The sequence below is a fragment of the Homo sapiens genome, chromosome 14, assembly GCF_000001405.40.
Source record: "Homo sapiens chromosome 14, GRCh38.p14 Primary Assembly".
In the NCBI taxonomy this organism is placed as follows: Eukaryota; Metazoa; Chordata; class Mammalia; order Primates; family Hominidae; genus Homo; species Homo sapiens.
Window position 1 is genome coordinate 92,065,515 of NC_000014.9, and position 21,433 is coordinate 92,086,947.

General features: G+C 42.1%; 1 protein-coding gene across 33 annotated transcripts in view, besides 2 other annotated features; it reads right to left on the reverse strand.

The window, feature by feature from the left end:
* ATXN3 (ataxin 3) overlaps positions 1–21,433 on the reverse strand; it is a 61,808-nt gene that overhangs the window by 20,740 nt on the left and 19,635 nt on the right. For 13 of the 33 annotated variants that reach the window (NR_187583.1, NR_187584.1, NR_028466.2 and 10 more), the window contains 4 exons: positions 17,612–17,744; positions 16,786–16,952; positions 15,451–15,547; positions 5,421–5,539 (listed from right to left, as the gene is read on the reverse strand). Coding sequence is in view for 12 of the 33 variants with exons in the window: in NM_001164779.2 (NP_001158251.1) it covers positions 5,421–5,539; positions 15,451–15,547; positions 16,786–16,952; positions 17,612–17,744 (516 nt within the window). In the remaining 21 variants the exon portion in view is untranslated. Of the gene's footprint in view, positions 1–5,420; positions 5,540–13,900; positions 13,955–15,438; positions 15,548–16,785; positions 16,953–17,611; positions 17,745–17,898; positions 17,990–21,433 lie in introns of all 33 variants that reach the window. The other 20 variants (NR_028470.2, NR_028460.2, NM_001164782.2 and 17 more) reach the window with 9 other exon arrangements.
* Positions 5,497–5,538: a tandem repeat, named in NCBI's record as "ataxin 3 repeat instability region".
* Positions 5,497–5,538: a repeat instability region, noted in NCBI's record as "repeat instability region; expansion of the (CAG)n trinucleotide repeat (CTG relative to the plus strand of the reference genome) is associated with spinocerebellar ataxia type 3". NCBI's record gives the evidence for it as "EXISTENCE:polymerase chain reaction evidence [ECO:0000082][PMID:7874163]".

Here is a 21,433-nt window from a genome sequence, read left to right on the forward strand (position 1 = left end):
CTTGAGCCCAGGAGTTCAAGACCAGCCTGGGCAATTGCGTCAGTGGAACAATGTGTCAGTTGTAGGACTAAATAATGATCTTCCAGGCTGGGCACAGTGGCTCACGCCTGTAATCCCAGCATTTTGGGAAGCCGAGGTGGGCGGATCACGAGGTTAGGAGATGGAGACCATCCTGACTAACATAGTGAAACCCCATCTCTACTAAAAACACAAAAAATTAGCCGGGCATGGTGGCACACGCCTGTAGTCCCAGCTACTCGGGAGGCTGAGGCAGGAGAATGGCGTGAACCCGGGAGGCAGAGGTTGCAGTAAGCCGAGATGGCGCCACTGCACTCCAGCCTCAGTGACAGAGCAAGACTCTGCCTAAAAAAGAAAAATAATAATAATGATCTTCCAAATATTAGCCAAAGAGGCATTCAGCAATTAAAGACTTTTAAAATAGTTTTCTAAATGTTTGTTTTTCTTTTTTGACTGTGCAGCATTGCCCAGGCTGGTCTTGAACTCCTGGGCTCAAGCAATCTGCTTGCCTCAGCCTCCCTAAGTGCTAGTATTACAGCACTTACGGAGTGTAATACTAAAAAAAAAATAAATAAATTTCTGTTTCTCTGGGATAAATGCCCAGGAGTATAGATGCTATGTCATATGGTCAGGGTATGTTCAGTTTTTAAACAAATAGTGAAATTATTTTCCAAAGTGCCTGCATCAGTACAAAAGAAATATAGAAAGGTTACCTCCCTTTATATCCTTTGACCCTCCTTCATCTGTAACATAATGCCTTAAATATTTCCAATATATATACTGAAAACCAAATCAGTGCTATAATTCTTGCTTCAACCATCATACAATTTAGAAAATTCAAAAGGAGGGGAAAGTCTATTGTGTTTACCCATATTTTACTCTTTTTATTGTTCTTTCTTCCTTCCTGATGTTCCAAAATTACTTCTTTTATCATTTCTTTTCTGTTTAGAGAAATTCCTTTAGCCATTCTTTTAGGGTAGGTCTCCTGAAGACAAATCGTTAATTTTCCCTTCACTCCTGAAGGATATTTCACTGGATATGTAACTCTGGGTTTAGAGTTTTTTTCTTGTTTTTTTTTTTTTTTTTTTTTTTTGAGACAAGGTCTCGCTCTGTCACCCAGGCTGGAGTACAGTGGCATGAGCTTGGCTCACTGCAACCTCCACCTCCTGGGTTCAACCAATTCTCTTGCCTCAGCCTCCCAAGTAGCTGGGACTATAGGCGCCCACCACCAAGCCTGGATAATTTTTTTTTTTTTGAGATGGAGTCTCGCTCAACTGCCCAGGCTGGAGTGCAGTGGCGCGACCTTGGCTCACTGCAACCGTCGCCTCCCAGGTTCAAGCGATTCCCCTGCCTCAGCCTCCCAAGTAGCTAGGATTATAGGTGCGTGCCACCACACCTGGCTAATTTTTGTATTTTTAGTAGAGACAGGGTTTCCCCATGTTGGCCAGGCTGGTCTCGAACTCCTGACTTCAGGTGATCTGCCTGCCTCAGCCTCCAAAAGTGCTGGGATTACAGGTGTGTGCCACCGTGCCCAGCCTAGAGTTTTTGTCTTTCAGCACTAGAAAAAATGTTGTATGTACCCCTTCCTTCTGGCCTTTATGATCTCTGATGGGAAATCTGCTGTCATTCAAATTGCTTAGGTAAGGTCATTTCTTGCTAATTTCGAGATCTTCATTTTTTGTCTGCAGTGTTCAGAAATCTGACTGTGATGTGTCTCTGTGTGAACTTCTTTGAGTTTATCATATTTGAGCTTCATTCAGCTTTTTCAATCTGTAGGTTTCTGACTTTTGCCAAATTTGGGAAATTTTCAGCCATGACTTCTTCCTCAATTTTTTTCAGCCCCACCCTTTCTCATCTCCTTCTGGGAATCCTGACACAAATTTAGATGGAGTCTTGCTCTGTTGCCCAGGCTGCAGTACACTAGTGCGATCTTGGATCACTGCAACCTCCGTCTCCCAGGTTCCAGTGATTTTCCTGCCTTAGCCTTCCCAGTAGCTGGGATTACAGGCATGTGCCACCACGCCCAGCTAATTTTTGTATTTTTAGTAGAGACAGGGTTTCACCATGCTGGCCAGGCTGGTCTTGAATTCCTGACCTTAAGTGTTTGGCCCACCTTGGCCTCCCAAAGTGCTGGGATTACAGGTGTGAGCCACCATGCCCAGCTTAGTGATTTTCAATTAAATCCTGAAAATTTGGGGTATTATGTTATGAGAATGTGAATCTTATTTACATCTTCCAATTTAGCAAGCCTCCACTGACACAGCACTGGCAACAGGGAAAAGGGAGTGCCACCTCGCTACAACCAGAGGGGAGTGAAAGTCCAGGTTTCTTCAAGGCCTGTGATGTCAAGGAGTGGCGGTCATGGGGATTACTGCTGAACGCACATGGGAGTTCTAGCCCCCTAGTCCTCCACTGACATCTCTCTGACTGGGAGGGAGAGCAGTGCCTTGTTACTGATCTCCACATGGCCTCCACGGACATTGTGGAGGTGTCCTTGTTACTGCTGGGTGTCAGCAACAGTCTGGATTCTCTACTCGGCCTCTTCTCCAACATCACCCATATAGGAGCCAGAGAGATGCCTATGTATTACTGGGTGGAAGTTCAGCCTCCCTGTGACCACTGACACCATGTGAAAGGAGTGTTATCACCTCCTGGAGGGAATGAGAATCCCAGCTCCCCAGTCAGCCTTCTCTAACACCACCTTGGCTGGGAAAGGGGAGAAGTGTACCTTATGACTTCCAGGTTGGGGTACATATCTTGGCTCCCACTTGGCCTTTGCTGACAGGGGTGAATGGGGCCAGTTTATTCTGTTTTGTTTGACTGGAGTCAAGTGCTTATTATCTAAAGGTTTTTATCTTGCTAGGTTGCCTCTTTTGGCTAGAGAGAGCAGGCTTTTCATGGGGTTTTCTCTTGGTCTGAACCCATAGCTTCTCCAGCACCAAGTCCAGGATAAATGAGGCAAAAAGAAAATCCAGTCCACTCCCCACCACACTGCTCCTCTGGTTCCAAGGTCCCTAGCCAGTCTGTCTTCTCTCTGCCTTTGAGATTCAGCTGAATGGTTTTTTTTTTCTTTTTGAGACAGAGTTTTGCTCTTGTTGCCCAGGCTGGAGTGCAATGGTGCAATCTCAGCTTACTGCAACCTTCGCTTCCCGGGATCAAGCAATTCTCCTGCCTCAGCCTCCCAAGAAGCTGGGATTACAGGCATGCGCCACCATGCCCGACTAATCTTGTATTTTTAGTTGAGACAGGGTTTCTCCATGTTGGTCAGACCGGTCTTGAACTCCCAACCTTAGGTGATCCACCCGCCTCAGCCTCCCAAAGTGCTGGGATTACACGTGTGAGCCACCGCACCCAGCCCAGCTCATGTTTTATACAAATGTTGAGGTGTTTTGGCTGTACTTAAACAGGAGGAATAGAAAAAAGTACCAGTTCATTCCTTTTTTTATTCAATTGTTTGGATATACCACAGTTTGTGCATTCATTAACTAAATGAAGGTCTACATTTAGGCAGTTTGTAATTTTGGGCAATGATGAATAAAGATGCTATAATCTTTTTTTTTTTTGAGAAGGAGTTTTGGTCTTGTCACCCAGGCTGGAGTTCAATGGCACAATCTTGGCTCACTGCAATCTCCGCCTCCCGGGTTCAAGTGATTCTCCTGCCTCAGCCTCCTGGGATTACAGGTGCCCACCACCATGCCCAGCAAATTTTTGTATTTTTAGTAGAGATGGGGTTTCACCATGTTGGCCAGGCTGGTCTTGAACTCCTGACCTCAGGTGATCCATCAGCCTTGGCCTCCCAAAGTGCCGGGATAACAGGCGTAAGCCACCGTGTCCAGCCCTTTTTTTTTTTTTTTTTTTTGAGACAGAGTTTTGCTCTGTCACCCAGGCTGGAGTATAGTGGCACGATCTCGGCTCACTGCAACCTCTGCCTCCCGGGTTCACGTGATTCTCCTGCCTCAGCCTCCTGAATAGCTGGACTACAGGTGCCTGCCATCACGCCTGGCTAATTTTTGTATTTTAAGTAGAGACAGGGTTTTGCCATGTTGGCCAGGCTGGTCTCGAACACTTGACTTCAGGTATCTGCCAACCTCGGCCTCCCAAAGTGCTGGGATTATAGGCATGGGCCACCATGCCTGGTCAGCTATAAGCATTTGATATAAGTTTTTATGTGAACCTAAGTTTTCTTTTCTTTTGGTTATATATACATGATTGGGACTGCTGGATCACATGGCTAAGTATACATTTATCAAAAAAATGCCAAACTGTTTTCCAAAGCTGTACACTTTTACATTCCCATTAACAGTATATGAGTCTCAGCTGCTTGGATCCTTGCCAACACTTGGTATTGTCAGTTTTATTTCTTCATTAAAGCCATACCTACAGGGGTGCCATGGTGTCTCACTGTGGTTTTATCGTGCATTTCCCTGTGACTAGTGATGCTGAGAGTCTTTTCATGTGCTTATTTGTCATCCCTATGTCTTATTTGGTGAAATATCTTTTCAAATCCTTCACCTTTTTATTGAGTTGTTTTCTGATTATTCAGTTTTAAGAGTTCTTTATATATTCTGCTTATAATTTCTTTGTCAGATAGTTACTTTTTCTCTCAACTTCTACTACTAATTGGCCAAAGTTTAAGACATATTTAAACCGAGACCTGGAAAGTAACTCTGCACTTCCCATTGTTATTTAGATTATACTCAAGTATTTTTCATTTTCCAGGTGGTAAAATGTGTTTATTTTTCACCTACTAATATTCATGATTTCTGGCCGGACGTGATGGCTCACGCCTGTAATCCCAGCACTTTGGGAGGCCGAGGCGGGCGGATCATGAGGTCAGGAGATTGAGACCATCCTGGCTAACATGGTGAAACCCTGTCTCTACTAAAAATACAAAAAATTAGCCAGGCGATGTGGCGGGCGCCTGTAGTCCCAGCTACTCAGGAGGCTGAGGCAGGAGAATGCCATGAACCCAGGAAGCAGAGCTTGCAGTGAGCCGAGATCGCGACACTGCACTCCAGCCTGGGTGACAGAGCAAGACTCCATCTCAAAAAAAGAAAAATATCCATGATGTCTAAGGAATTTTTGGAGACTGTACAAATTACTGTGAAGTTTAAATTATTATGTTAAAGTATTCATTAAATGTTCTAGCAATCCTCTCCTGCCTTGGTTTCCCAAAGTGCTGGGATTACAGATGTGAGCCACCACATCTAGCTTTTTTTTTTTTTTTTCTTTTGGTAACTGCTCCTTAATCCAGGGAAATTTAGTAGATTACAAATTTACTTAAGATTCTTAATATGATTAAAGAGGGAATGAAGAATAATGTAAAGCAAAAATCACATGGAGCTCGTATGTCAGATAAAGTGTGAAGGTAGCGAACATGATGAATGGTGAGCAGGCCTTACCTAGATCACTCCCAAGTGCTCCTGAACTGGTGGCTGGCCTTTCACATGGATGTGAACTCTGTCCTGATAGGTCCCCCTGCTGCTGCTGCTGCTGCTGCTGTTGCTGCTTTTGCTGCTGTCTGAAACATTCAAAAGTGAAGTATATTTAAAAAACAAAACTTAAAAGAATAAATACACCATGAGAAAAACTATTCATAAGGAAAATACATTGTTTCACGAATCAAAGTAGTCACTGGTATTAAAAGAATGCAAGAGCAGTTAGTCTGATACAGATTACTTTAAAATATGGAAGTGCTGATCTTAGGAAATCTAGACATAAAATTTAAATTTATCAGACAAATTAAGAGGTAGGTATTTTCATCACAAAATAACCTATCATGGCCAGGAGTGGTGGCTCACACCTGTAATCCCAGCACTTTGGGAGGCCGAGGCGGGTGGATGGCTTGAGGTCAGAAGTTTGACACGAGCCTGGACAACACGGTGAAACCCCATCTCTACTAAAAATACAAAAATTAGCCAGGCGTGGTGGCAGGCACCTGTAATCCCAGCTACTTTGGGAGGCTGAGGCAGGAGAATCACTTGAACCGGGGAGGTAGAGGTTGCAGTGAGCCAAGATCGCGCCACTGCACTCCAGCCTGGGCGACAGAGCGAGACTCTGTCTCAAAAAAACAACAAACAAAAAACCTATCATACAAAAAGATTCACTGGTAGTTATTCTTATGCAAATGAGTGTTGGTTTATAGACCCTTAATATTGTTGAAAGTCACCAAAAATAAGTACCTTTGATCAGATAAAGCATTTCAAACTACCATGTGAGTTAACATAATGTTTCCATGGCTGGCTCATTCTTTTCACTCAGGTCTGAGCTTAAAATTTATCTCCCCAGAGATGCCTTTCCTGACCATCCCACCAAAAGTAGCCACCTGACATTCCCATTATTTCATCACTTCATTTTAATTCTCAGCATAAACTTATCATCATCTGGTGTTCTCTTTATTTCCCTCTTTATGGCATGTAAGCTAATGAAAGTGCAAATCTTATCTTACTCATCTATTTCCCCAGTGCTGATAACTGTGCTGTTACATAGTAAGCATTCACTGAACACCTGATAAATGAAATAAATGAAAACTACTATTTAACACACATTATCAGATTTTAAGTAATACTGATTGCATTAAGCTCCTCTGTAATTTTTTCAAAAAGAGAAACAATGTAATACAAATCCCCATTTTAAAATGTTTAAACATGACGGTTATCATGTAAATATGTAGGAATATATTCTTGTACTTAGAAAATATACACTGAACAACTGAGACATAATGGAAAATCATATCTGCATATTATTCCCAAATGGTTCAGAAAGGCCAATAATTGGGGAATCTGGGTGAAGGATATAAGGAGCTCTGTGTACTATTTCTGCTTTTATGTAAATCTGAAATTACAGGTCAAGCATCCTAAATCCGAGAATCAGAAATCCAAATGCTCCAAAATCAGAAACTTTTTGAGCACCAACATGATACTCAAAAGAGGTGCTCAGTGGAACACTTCAGATTTGAAATTTTGGATTTGGAATGCTTAACTGGTAAGTATAGTGCAAATATTCACAAATCCTAAAAAACCCCAAATCTAAAACACTTCCAGTCTTAAGCATTTTGGATAAGGGATACTCAATCTGTATTTCATATATGTAAATACAAACACAGAAAACCAAAAACCAAAACTTACAAACAGCTGACAATCTCAGTGAGAAGCTATAGGTTAAAAAAAAAAAAAAAAAAAAAAAAGATTGCTTCTCGGTCTTTTGGCTAAGATCAAGTGTTTAAAAAAAAAAGGTATATAAGAATTTGAAAAGGAACAAGGATTTTTAAATTACCAGCAACAATTATTAATAGAATGGCACATTTTTTATAGAGTTCCTCTCAATTTTGTGTTTTAAAACTGTGAACAATAAAGAAAGTTCAACTAATGAGAACTGCAATTTCTCCCTGTTGGTCTCTGAGCCAGAATACTGACCTGTGTGTAGGTGTAAGACCTTAGTGTGCATGGCTAATGATGCACGTAAGGGCAGTATCCTCCCATTAGCAAATCCTGATGCTGCAACATAGCACAAGAGGGACGGACTGAGTTATGGAGAATTCCTGGCACATCTGCTATCACTCCATGCCCTCTGCCCCTCCACTCAAGAAGGTATGTGAGAATGCAAGGGAGTGACAGGTGAGATAGCAATTTTAGAGGAATAGCCTTTATTCTACTTTTAGTTTATGAAAAATGAGAAGTAAATCAATTGTCCACCTTGAAACAATGTAGACACCTTCCAGCTGTGAAGACACTGAGGTGGAACATGTTCAAGTGGTACTCAGCATCCACTCCCACTGTGCCATCAATATTATAGAGGTTACAAAGCTAAAAGCTACATGTCTTAGATTATTTTACAAGTAGGATTCTGGTTACAAATTAAGTGCTCACATGAGCTTTAAAAAGCAGAAACGGGTCAGGCACAGTGGCTTGCGCCTGTAATCCCAGCACTTTGGGAGGCCAAGGCAGGCGGATCACCTGAGGTGAGGAGTTCAAGACCAGCCTGGCCAACATGGCAAAACTGTCTCTACTAAAAATACAAACCTTGTCTGGGCACGGTGGCTCATGCCTGTAATCCCAGCACTTTGGGAGGCCGAGGCGGGCGGATCACGAGGTCAGGAGTTCGAGACCAGCCTGGCCAACATGGTGAAACCCCATCTCTATTAAAAATACAAAAAAATTAGCCAGGTGTGTTGGCGCACACCTGTAATCCCAGCTACTCTGGAGGCTGAGGCAGGAGAATTGCTTGAACCCGGGAGGCGGAGGTTGTAGTGAGCCCAGATCATGCCACTACACTCCAGCCTGGGTGACAGAGTGAGACTCTGTCTCAAAAAAAACAAAACAAAAACAAAAATTAGCCAGGTGTGGTGCTACACACCTGTAGTCCCAGCTACTCAGGAGGCTGAAGCAGAAGAATTGCTTGAAACTGGGAGGCAGAGGTTGCAATGCGCCAAGATTGCACCACTGCACTCCAGTCTGGGCAACAGAGTGAGACTCCACCTCAAAAAAAAAAAAAAAAAAAAAAGGGAGAAATGGGCCAGGCATGGTGGCTCATACCTGTAATCACAACACTTTGGGAGGCTGAGGCGGGCAGATCACCTGAGGTCAGGAGTTCAAGACCAGCCTGGCCAACGTGGCAAAACCCCACCTCTACTAAAAATAAGAAAATTGGCTGGGCACAGTGGCGGGTGCCTGTAATCCCAGCTACTCAGGAGGCTGAGGCAGGAGAATTGTTTGAAGCTGGGAGGCGGAGGCTGCAGTGAGCCGAGATCACACTACTGCACTCCAGCCTGGGCGACAGACAAGACTCCGTCTCAAAAAATAAAATAAAATAGGCAGAAATGAGGCCTAGCCATCTCCCTCCACTTTGGTTGTTCTCTGGTGGCAAGCAAAGCCATTTGGGAGATGCCAGTCCCAAAATTCTGCTTCACTGCTGTTGCAATGGGGGCCAGACTTCATGTTCCCATCTCTAGGCAATTGTGGTGGCAGCTTTCTATGCCAAGGATCATTGCTATAGCAGTATGTTCTTAAATTTAATATCCTCATTACCCATTGTCCCAACTGGGGCAGTGGTTACAGCTCTTCCTGCAAGTTGGTTTGTGGTACTGTGGAGGCCTGGCTAAGAGCTGCACCTTCATCCTTTCTTAAGATTATGTAAACCCCTAATTTCTATATTAAGTATTTTCCTCTTTAAAACATCCCCAGTAGTTTCTGTTTCTCAACACTGTTTGATAAATTATACCATATCACTGAAGTGGTGGCTCAAGTATTAGGCAATCAAACACTCATAGCAATCCATGTCCATGAAGATATTTGTGTCTCTCCTTGTTATAGAACATTTGCAACTTATGTTTTTTGTAACAGAAAGCATCTGCATCCATTTCAAAGCCACACCTAGAGAAGACATTAATAACTGCCAACATGTATGTATGGAATACTTTACAGTTTATAAAATAGTTTCACACACATTGCTTAATTTCATGCTTCTGTGAGTTAAGGCAGGTTTTACAGTGACACAGCTGATGTAGTAGAGTTTTGCTTGGGGTTTTATGATGGTAAAACAGATTTAGAGACTACTGCTGGAAAAAATGTCATGGCTTGAAAATATTATTTAATGACTCATAAATTATGAATCTGTAATAGGGAGTTTTTTTTTTTTTTTTTTTTTTTTTGAGATGGAGTCTTGCTCTTGTCGCCTAGGCTGTAGTGCAATGGCACAACCTCGGCTCACTGCAACCTCTGCCTCCCAGGTTCAAGTGATTCTCCTGCCTCAGCCTGCCAAATAGCTAGGATTACAGGCGCCCGCCACCATACTCGGCTAATTTTTTTGTATTTTTAGTAGAGAAGAGGTTTCGCCATGTTGGCCAGGCTAGTCTCGAACTCCTGACCTCAGATGATTCGCCTGCCTTGGCCTCCGAAAGTGCTGGGATTACAAGCGTGAGCCATAGCGCCCAGCCAAAACTAGTTTTTTTAATGCATGAAAACTATGATTACTTTATGCATTTATGCAATTACTTTATGATTTTCTTTATGCATGAATACTATGATTACTATATTCAGTATGAAGCTTCAAATACTCAAAAAGGGAAAAGAAAAACTAGAAAATCGTATGAATAACAAATCAGCACCAGGGTCAATTTGGGAAGGGTGAGAGGGAAGAAAGAGTTAGCTTGATAACCTTAGACCCAAGCTCCCAAAGACAGAACCTAGAGAGACAACGAACTACCTAGGCTAAGTAATCAGGAATTTTAGTGAAAGGCAAATATTAGCTTCTTAGCTCCTACTAATGAGCTCTACAAGGTTTTGAATGCAAGCCATTGTTAAAAATGAACATCAAGAAGTTAGTTCTTAACTCTTCTCAGCAACATGTGACTATGTAAGATATTCTCAAGCTCTTTCCAAATTCTCACCAGTATTTGCAAAGTCAAGCCAAGAGGCTGAAGCTGGTAACCATCACTGCACACTTTCCTCCTCAATCAATCCTCCACCAAGTAGGAAGGAGGTATATCGATATTCGAACATTTTTAAAAGGGTACAAGGTTGCCTGACCCTGTTTACTAAAAAGCACTAGTTATTGCTGACATTGTACTTGTTATAACTTACTTAGTCATTATTGGACATTACTGAATTATCGTTACTACTATAAAAAGTTCAGGCCGAGTGCAGTGGCTCATGCCTGTAATCCCAGCATGTTGGGAGACCCAGGCTGGCAGATTGCCTGAGATCAGGAGTTCGAGACCAGTCTGGCCAACATGGTGAAACCCCCTCTCTACTAAAAATACAAAAAAATTAGCCCGACGTGGTGGCATGCGCCTGTAATCCCAGCTACTTGGGAGGCTGAGGCAGGGGAATTGCTTGAACCAGGGAGGTGGAGGTTGCAGTGAGCCGAGATCGCGCCACTGCACTCCAGACTGGGTGACAAAAGCGAGACCTCGTCTCAAAAAAGAAAAAAAAAAAAAAAAAAGCTCAATTTGTTGGAAGTTTCATATTTTTAATCCAGTTTTTAAAAAATTTTAAGTAAAAGAGCAGTTTATTTTTATGCTTTAAATATACTTTTCTTTTCTTAGATATACCTGTAAATTTTGTATTATAGTTTCTCTATGATGTATGTCTTTAGACCATTTTATTTTGACAAAAAAGACTCTGATGGCTGGGCGCGGTGGTGCACGCCTGTAATCCCAGAACTTTGGGAGGCCGAGGTAGGCAGATTGCCTGAGCTCAGGAGTTCGAAACCAGCCTGGGCAACATGGTGAAACCCCATGTCTACAAAAGACACAAAAATTAGCCAGGCATGGAGGCACTTGCCTGTAACCGCAGCTACTTGGGAGGCTGAGGCAGAATAATCGCTTAAACTCAGGAGGCGGAGGTTGCAGTGAGCCGAGATCATGCCACTACACTCCAGCCTGGGTGACAGAGTGAGATTTCGTCTCAAAAAAAAAAAAAAAAAAAAGTCTGAAATAAACATGGTGAAAGTATCACATGGGAATTATTCTGGAAAGCAATTTAGAAATCTGTTCCAAGGCCTTAAAAATGTTCATATCCTTTAACCCAATAATCTGACATCCTCAGAAAAACTAGAAGAAATGATAAGACATTTGAGGTGTAGAGGCAATATAAGAATTGTTCATTGCAATATTAATTATAATAGCAGAATTCAAAAGGCTCACATATAAATTATGCCACATCCATTCATTTTATGAAATATCATGCAGCCTGTTACAAAGACTATTTACTGTCATAGGAAATGAGTACAACACTTACAAGGTAAGTGTGTATATGTCACAGAAAAAGAATGTGCCAAAATACTAACATCAGTCACTGAAGGAGGTGAGAGTATGCTTTCTTTTTTTTTTTTGAGACAGAGCCTCGCTCTGTCGCCCAGACTGGAGTGCAGTGGTGTGATCTCTGCTCACTGCAAGCTCCACCTCCCGGGTTCATGCCATTCTCCTGCCTCAGCCTCCAGAGTAGCTGGGACTACAGGTGCCTGCCACCACACCCAGCTAATTTTTGTGTATTTTTTAGTAGAGACGGGGTTTCACTGTATTAGCCAGGATGGTCTCCATCTCCTGACTTCGTAATCTGCCTGCCTCGGCCTCCCAAAGTGCTGGGATTGCAGGCATGAACTACCGCGCCCAGCCTTTTTTTTTTCTTTTTGAGACAGTATCTCGCTCTGTCACCCAGGATAGAGTGCAGTGGCACAATCTCGGCTCACTGCAACCTCCACCTCTGGGTTCAAACGATTCTCCTGCCTCAGCCTCCAAAGTAGCTGTGATTACAGGTGTGCACCACCATGCCCAACTAATTTTTTTGTATTTTTAGTAGAGACAGGCTTTCGCCATGTTGGCCAGGTTGGTCTTGAACTCATGGCCTCAAGTGATCTGCCTGCCTCAGCCTCCCAAAGTGCTGGGATTACAGACATGAGCCACTACGCCTGGCCATGTATGCTTTAATTTCTATATTTCTTTTCTCTTTTTTTTTTTTTTGAGGCGGAGTTTCACTCTGTCACCCAGGCTGGAGTGCAGTGGGGTGATCTCAGCTCACTGCAACCTCTACCTCCTGGGTTCAAGCGATTCTTCTGTCTCAGCCTCCTGAGTAGCTGGGATTACAGGTGCCCATCATCATGCCTGGCTAATTTTTGTATTTTTAGTGGAGACAGGGTTTCGCCATGTTGGCCAGGCTGGTCTTGTACTCCTGACCCTCCTGACCTCAGGTGATCCGCCCACCTCAGCCTTCCAAAGTGCAGGGATTAGAGGCGTGAGCCACCGTGCCCAGCCAATTTTGATATTTCTTAAAATAAAATTTTTAGAATGTTAGTTTTTCTAATTAAGTAGATTTAAGTTATTTTTTATTATTTATTTATTTATTTATTTGAGATGGAGTTTCACTCTTTTTGCCCAGGCTAGAGTGCAATGGCACGATCTCGGCTCACCGCAACCTCGCCTCCCGGGTTCAAGTGATTCTCCTGCCTCAGCCTCTCAAGTAGCTGGGATTACAAGCATGCGCCACCACGCCTGGCTAATTTTTTGTATTTTTAGTAGAGATGGGGTTTCTCCATGTTGGTCAGGCTGGTCTTGAACTCCTGATCTCAGGTGATCTGCCCACCTCAGCCTCCCAAAGTGCTGGGATTACAGGTGTGAGCCACCGCGCCTGGCCTTAGATTTATTTTTTACATTAACTAGATAATTGATGATATAGAATTACAATTAATTATTATGATTATTATTTTATGACAATAGCATTTAACTATGTTAAAAATAAAGCTAATATATTTTAGAGACACATATTAAAATGGTTATAGAATAATATGATGATTGAGATTTGTTACAAAATAATCCAAACTTGCAGGTGGGACAGTGGAAAGAATGGGAGATGGGAGTATTATAAAACGAGATTGGGCCGGGCTCAGTGGCTCATGCCTGTAATCCCAGCACTCTGGGAGGCCGAGGCAGGTGGATCACTTGAGGTCAGGAGTTTAAGGCCAGCCTGGACGACATGGTGAAATCCCGTGTCTACTAAAAATACAAGAATTAGCCAGGCATGGTGGTGTGTACCTGTAATCCCAGCTACTTGGGAGGCTGAAGTGGGAGAATCGCTTGAACTCAGGAGGCAGAGGTTGCAGTGAGCAGAAATTGTGCCATTGCACTCCAGCCTGGGCAACAGAGCAAGACTCCATCTCAAAAAAAAAAAAAAAAAAAAGCAAGATTGGCCGTGTGCTAGTATTTGTTGAATCTGGGTCATAAACAGGAGTATGCTAGTTTTTCTACTTTTGTATAAATTTGGAGTTTATTATAATAAAAAAGTTAATTTTGAAACTTAAAAGTAAAAAGCACTAATAAGCACTACTTTGAAATTTAACATATAATTAGCCATTAATCTATACTGAATAAAGACTAGAAATATCTCACATTAAGAGGATGTCAGCTGATCAGAATTTTCCTTCATCTACTTCTGAGTTGTGACTTAAAAACAAAACAGAAAAAAAGGTAAATATTTTCTTCATTATACCATCAAATGTAAAATGAGCCAATATTTATAGGTGCTGCTAATATACTGTCAATTATGACTGTAAGATGCTTCTCAATTTCAGAGACATTGAAATGTGAAACTATGTGCATCTCAGAATGGATGAAATACAGCAAATAGTAAGTCAGATTGAGCTATGACTCTGTTTTCTGACCTAGGATCAGTGGGTCTGATTATTTATCTTGTAATCTTTAACATGAAGTTTTCTTTCTCTTTTTTTTTGAGACGAAGTCTCGCTCTTGTCCCCCAGGCTGGAGTGCAATGGCGTTATCTCAGCTCACTGCAACTTCTGCCTCCCAGATTCAAGCGATTCTCCTGTCTGAGCCTCCCAAGTAGCTGGGATTACAGGCACCCACCACCATGCCCGGCTAATTTTTGTATTTTTAGTAGAGATGAGGTTTCACCATGTTGGTCAGGCTGGTCTTGAATTCCTGACCTCAGGTGATCCACCTGCCTTGGCCTCCTAAAATGGTGGGATTACAGACGTAAGCCACCGTGCCCAGCCTTTTATTTTTCTTTAAAAAAAAAAAGTGGGGGACAAAAGTCTGAATGATAGTTACTTGAAAAGAATGTATTTTCATATGGTGGAATTCCTATTTAGCAAGCACTTACAAGGCTGGGCACAAGGTAAGGTTTTAGGAGTTGATCCAGATTTATGGTTTGCATCCATTCCCCTGATGCTAACAGGCTTACAGGACTGCCTGAAGCGGCCATGAGCAGCTAAATGAACTACCACGTCTATTTGGGAATGCGCTCCCATACCTCCAAAGCTGTTTTTCGTACTGATTGGTAGAGGAATTTTGCAGGGTTAATCAGGTAAGCAAGAAGTACATCCAAAGGATCAATTGGCATTCTTCTTGTCTTGTCCTAATTTCATTTTTCTTTTAATAAATGAAATTTTATAAGGTTTCCTTCACTCAGTTTAAAAAATTTATCCAGTATTGGGGCAAGGTTTTTTTGTTTCATGTTATTTGCCGTAAATTTTTATTTTTATTTATATATATATACATATATTTTTGGAGACGGAGTCTCACTCTGTCACCCAGTCTGGAGGGCAGTGGTGCGATCTCGGCTCACTGCAACCTCCACGTCCCGGGTTCAAGCAATTCTCCTGGCTCAGCCTCCCAAGCAGCTGGGACTACAGGCGCACGCTTCCATGCCCAGCTGATTCTTTTGTATTTTTAGTAGAGATGGGGTTTCACTGTGTTGCCCAGGCTGGTCTCGAACTCCTGACCTCAGGCAATCTGCCCGCCTTGGCCTCCCAAACTGCTAGCATCACAGGCGTAAGCCACCGTGCCCGTCCTATTTGCTGTAAATTTTTAAAAAATACATTCAAATATTCACAGGATTCAGGCAGTAACCATTTACAAATAGACAAAATAGCCAAAGCAAATATTAAACATGCTACTTTAACTTGTACCAACTACTTTACTTTTCAAAGTAGGCTTCTCGTCTCTTCCGAAGCTCTTCTGAAGTAAGATTTGTACCTGATGTCTGTGTCATATCTTGAGATATGTTTCTGGAACTACCTGAAAACAAAACACAACACAACAAAAACCAATCACTGTATTTACCAATTCAAGCAACAATATGTTTGTTTATACTCATTTGAGTAAGCCTTTAAAACGTTTTCTCTTTAAGAATATTCTACTCTTCTGGCTGGGCGTGGTGGCTCACACATGTAATCCCAGCACTTTGGGAGGCCAAGGCAGGTGGATCACCTGAGGTCAGGAGTTCAAGACCAGCCTGGCCAAAAGGGCAAAACCCTATCTCTACTAAAAGTACAAAAAATTAGCTGGGCGTGGTGGTAGGCGCCTGTAGTCCCAGCTACTCAGGAGGCTGAGGCAGGAGAATCGCTTGAACCTCGGAGGCAGGGGTTGCAGTGAGCCAAGATCACTGCACTCCAGGCTGGGCGACAGTGAGACTCTGACTCAAAAAAAAAAAAAAAAAAAAAGAAAGAAAAAAAAAAAAGAAAGAAATCTAAAGCTGATTTCTGTCCCTGCTAATCCAGCAGGACTCTATTAATCAAAAATGGGATTGCACACCATATGGAGTACTCAGAGGCATGCATAGAGGCAAGAAAAGTTCAGGATAAAAATAATCTTCCCATTAATGAAATTTCAATTTTATTTAGATATCTAAGGAAATCAACTGATAAATAATTTCATTAGAAAGTAGAAGCAAATACATATGAGTTAGAAAAAAATAAAACAAAAAACCCACTTCAAACTTTTAATTAAGCTACTTTGAGCTATGTCTTAACATTTTTCTTTGCCTAGATTGTCTAGGGGATATGTTTTCGCTTTTCTCTATTGATAGTTTATATCACTAAAAAACTGGGCCCACCAAAGTGGGCTTACGGTTTAAGTTGCATAGCCAATAAATGTTGGGTTTTTGTAAAATCAGTTTATATTCCCTGTCCAGGCCCTTCCATAGTGTCTAATGGCACATATTTATGTAACAGCTGATTTGGATAAGGGTCAACTGATACCCACAAAGATTAAAACCACAATTTACTATTGTGTTAGTACAGTGTTGAAACCAAATAAAATAACCAGGAGTAAAAATATAACTACTCCTAATAAAATATAGGTTGTAAAAAGTGATTTCCATTATAAGAAATCTAAAGGGAAAGCCCACTATATAGCTATTGCTTCTGCAGTAATTGTCAAAACACCTCTAAGAGTACATTAACTTCCATGAAATCTAAGAATAATTGGAATCAATTCTTCAGCAATGAATACAACACACATCAGAATGTCTTTACCTTGCATACTTAGCTGAATAGCCCTGCGGAGATCTGCTTCCTCATCTTCCATGTCAATTTCTTGGCGACTTAGTGCCAGAGCCCTCTGCAAATCCTCCTCATCTTCGTCTAACATTCCTGAGCCATCATTTGCTTCTAACACTCGTTCCAGGTCTGTTTTATGGACTCTAAAGAACAAAAGCACTGGTAATAACTGCAACCAATCTTCTATTTTAGACATAACATAAAGGCATTTGTAATGTAAAGGCTTTAAGTAAGTCAAAACTTAAAATGTTTTCTGGCAAATAAGCTCTAGTAATATAATGATTGTGTTGCAATTTGAATCCAACTAAGTTTTTTTTTTCCGTTTCTTTTTTTTTTTTTTTTTGAGACAGGGTCTGACTCTCTCGACCAGGCTGGAGTGCGGTAGTGTGATTATGGCTCACTGTAGTCTCTACCTCCCCAGTTTCAGGTGATCCTTCTTCCTCTGCCTCCCAAGTAGCTGGGACTATAGGCATACACCACCACATCTGGCTAATTTTTGTACTATTTGTAGAGATGAGGTTTTGCCATGTTGCCCAGGCTGGTCTCGAACTCCTGGGTTGAAGCAATCAGCCTGCCTCAGCCTCCCGAAGTGCTAGGAATATACCATACCAGCTAACTAAGTTAATATATTTAAGTATTTCAAAGAGTTGATTCAAGTTTAAACTAATAAACTTCACTAAAATATAAGGTCCAAAATAGAGTCGCCAACAACACAAGGACCACATATTCAATCTAAGCATGAAAATTTAATTCTCATAATGAAATACTACCATATATTCCATACTGCAGGCCTCATTTTTACCTTTGCTCTTTTAGTTGTGCTAATTCTTCTCCAATAAGTTTTGGTCGATGCATCTGTTGGACCCTAATCATCTGCAGGAGTTGGTCAGCTTCGCAATCTGGCAGATCACCCTTAACGACAAATATAGAATAACCTAAAAAAAAAAGGCAAAAATCAACCTAACCAGTTAGTAAAGAGATTCAAAATTGATGTAAAACACTAGTAGATAAAAAGGCAGCACAGAACACTGGAAAAAAATACAAGCTGAGGATTCAGAAAGACTTTAGTCCAAATAATGATTCTTATACTTACTAGTAAAGTCGTCTAAGGTAAGTTACTTAAAGTCTCTGAGCCTCACTTTCTCCATTGTAAGACTGGAAGAGCCGTCTCATTGAGTGACTGTGAGAAATAAATATGTCTGTAAAGGGCCCTACTAATATAGTACTTGACTGAGCAGGCTACTCACTTACTGTTGTCAGAGTGGGTAACAGCAACTGATTTAGAATCAGACTGCCTGCATCTGATCCCAGTTCTCCCACTTCCTAGCTGCATTTGTCTTGGTTTCTACTGTTAAACATATGATACTAGTACCTTCCTGTGATGGTTAATATTATCAACTTGATTGGATTGAAGGCTACAAATTATTGTTTCTGGGTGTGTCTGCGAGGGTGTTGCCAAAGGAGATTAACATTTAAGCCAGTGAACTGGGAGAGGTAGACCCACCCTCAAACTGGGTGGTCACCATCTAATCAGCTGCCAGCTCAGCTAGAATAAAGCAGGCAGAAATAAGAGTGTGGAAGTACTAGACTTGCTGAGCCTTCATCTTTCTCCCATGCTGGATGCTTCCTGCCCTCAAACATCAGACTCCAAGTTCTTCATCTTTTGGACTCTTGAACTTACACCAGTGGTTTGCCAGGGGCTCTCAGGCCTTTTGCCACAGACTGAAGGCTGCACTGTCAGCTTCCCTACTTTTGAGGTTTTGGGACTTGGACTGGCTTCCTGGTTCCTCAGCCTGCAGAGAGCCTATTGTGGGACTTCACCTTGTGATCATACGAGTCGATACTCCTTAATACATTACCCTTCATATATACATCTACCTTATTAGTTCTGTCCCTCTAGAGAACCCTAATACACTTACTCACAGGGCTGCTGTGAGGACACAGATAATGTGTGCAATAACTAGTAACATGGCTAAAACTAATCATCTGCGGAAAGAGCTACCCCCACCCTGACCCACACATGTACACCCCTTGTAACTAAAAATAGGGGCTGGGAAGCCAAATACCTAAAAGCTATTTAAGGTGTCAAACGTGTGGTTTGCATCCCAAAAGAATTACATTAGTCTAGTGTGACTGTGTCTAAATATGATTCCAGAAATCCAGGGTTTCCCCAAGCTAGATGCTACACACAAAAACCAAGGATGGGCTATACCTAAAACAATCTAACTGATTTAAGTTTCTCTATCATTAATTTTTTTTTTTTTTTAATTTGAGATGGAGTCTCACTCTGTCACCCAGGCTGGAGTGCAGTGGTGCAATATTAGCTCACTGCAACCTCTGCCTCCCAGGAGGTTCAAGCGATTCTCCTGCCTCAGCCTCCTGAGTAGCTGGGATTACAGGCACCCACCACCACACCCAGTTAATGTTTGTATTTTTAGGAGAGGCAGGGTTTCACCATGTTGGCTGGGCTGGTCTCGAACTCCTGACCTCAGGTGATCTGCCCACCTCGGCCTCCCAAAGTGCTGGGATTACAGGTGTGAGCCACCGCGCCTAGCACATTTTTCTTAAACTTTGGTGTTTGTTATTGGATATCCTTTGTTGGATTAACACATAATGGGACAAAGATTATAAGAACTATTAATGGAAAACCTCAAAATAGTATGTTGAACATTTTTTATGAGGACAACTGTATTCAGAGTTTAGACGGTTTAATGTGTTTTCTGCCAGTAAAATTGTTTCTGTATTGTATAATAAATATGCCAGCTCACCATGGTATTCTATGAAGAGTGTCTGAAGAATGGATACTCTGCCCTGTTCAGGGGCCATGGTAAAGATCTTGGGTTTTATTCAAGACTTCACATATTTTTTTTTTTTAATTTTTTTTTGAGAGTCTCGTTCTGTCACCCAGGCTGGAGTGCAGTGGTATGATCTTGGCTCGCTGTAACCTCTGCCTCCCGGGTTCAAGTGATTCTCCTATCTCAGCCTCCCGAGTAGCTGGGACTACAGGTGCACAACACCACACCCAGTTAATTTTTGTATTTTTTGGTAGAGACAGGGTTTCACCATGTTGGCCAGGCTGGTCTCATCAACTCCTGACCTCAAGTGATCTGCCCCCTCATCCTCCCAAAGTGCTGGGATTGCAGGCATGAGCCACCAAGCCCGGCCTAAGACTTCAGATTTTATTCTAAGTGTGCTGGGAAGCCACTGAAGGACAAAGAGTGAGGGTGGGACATAACAGGCCTTACACTGGTTAAGAAGCACTCTGGGCTGCTCTGTCGGTATAATATATAGGAACCAGAGTACAAGAGTCACCCTTATGGAAATGGAAAACCTGATGGATAGCATGGATAGAGAGAAAAAAATAAGTCTTTCATAGACATGTTCAGTTTGAAACACTTTTTGGATTTCCAAGTGGAGATGCCAAAGCTAGGAGTTAGTCAAAGCTAGGTGTTCAGGGTAGATGTCAAGACTAAAGATAAAAGTTTGGTAATTATTGACACATAGATCTTATTTACAGATGATATTTAAGATCCATGAAAGGAATCTGAAAAGTGCAGGCAGCAAGTTAGGAAAACCACAGCATGGTGGGCTGAAGGCCAAAGGTAGACAGGGTTTCTAAGAAGGGATATCATCAGGAACCAAGGTTTTAAATATAAAAGAAAAAAGATACAAGTATCTAAAATCAAAGAATTAAAAACCCTATATTCCTAAATGTGAATTCACAATAACTACATAACAAACCCAGCAGCAATAAGCATGCCAGCACTCAAATTGTGATCTCCAAATACCATTACTAAAAGATGGCTAGGCAAGGTGACTCACGCCTGTAATCCCAGCACTTTGGGAGGCTGAGGCAGGTGGATCACTCGAGGCCAGGAATTCGAGACCAACCTGGCCAATATGGTGAAACCCTGTCTCTACTAAAAATACAAAAAAAAAAAAAAAAAATTTAGCCGGGGCCAGGCGCAGTGGCTCATGCCTGTAATCCCAGCACTTTAGGGGGCCGAGGTGGGCGGCTCACCTGAGGTCAGGAGTTGGAGACCAGCCTAACAAACATGGAGAAACCCCTTCCATCTCTACTAAAATACAAAATTAGCCAGGCATGGTGGCACATGCCTGTAAATCCAGCTACTCGGGAGGCTGAGGCAAGAAAATCGCTTGAACCCAGGAGGCAGAAGTTACGGTGAGCCGAGATCACGCCATTGCACTCCAGCCGGAGCAACAAGAGGGAAACTCCATCTCAAAAAAAAAAAAAAAAAATTAGCCGGTCATGGTGGTGCACGCCTGTAATCCCAGCTACTCGGGAGGTTGAGGCAGGAGAATCGCTTGAACCCAGGAGGCAGAGTTCAAGAAAAGGAGAAGGCACACTAGAGACAATCCTAAGGAAAAAATAAAAATGGGGAGGCAGCTGGAGTTTCATGGAATTAAGAGAGGATTTTTATTTTTAATCAATGGAAATAAAAAGCTTATTTTACTGCTTATAGGAATATTACAAAAAAAGGGGGGGGGAACTGATTATATAAGAGAGTGGAGAGATGAAAGCAGGAACATCTTGAGTAGGTGAGAAGAGCTGGGATCCAGCCCACAAGTGAGGGACTGGTTTTGGTTAGAGGTAGGGGACCAT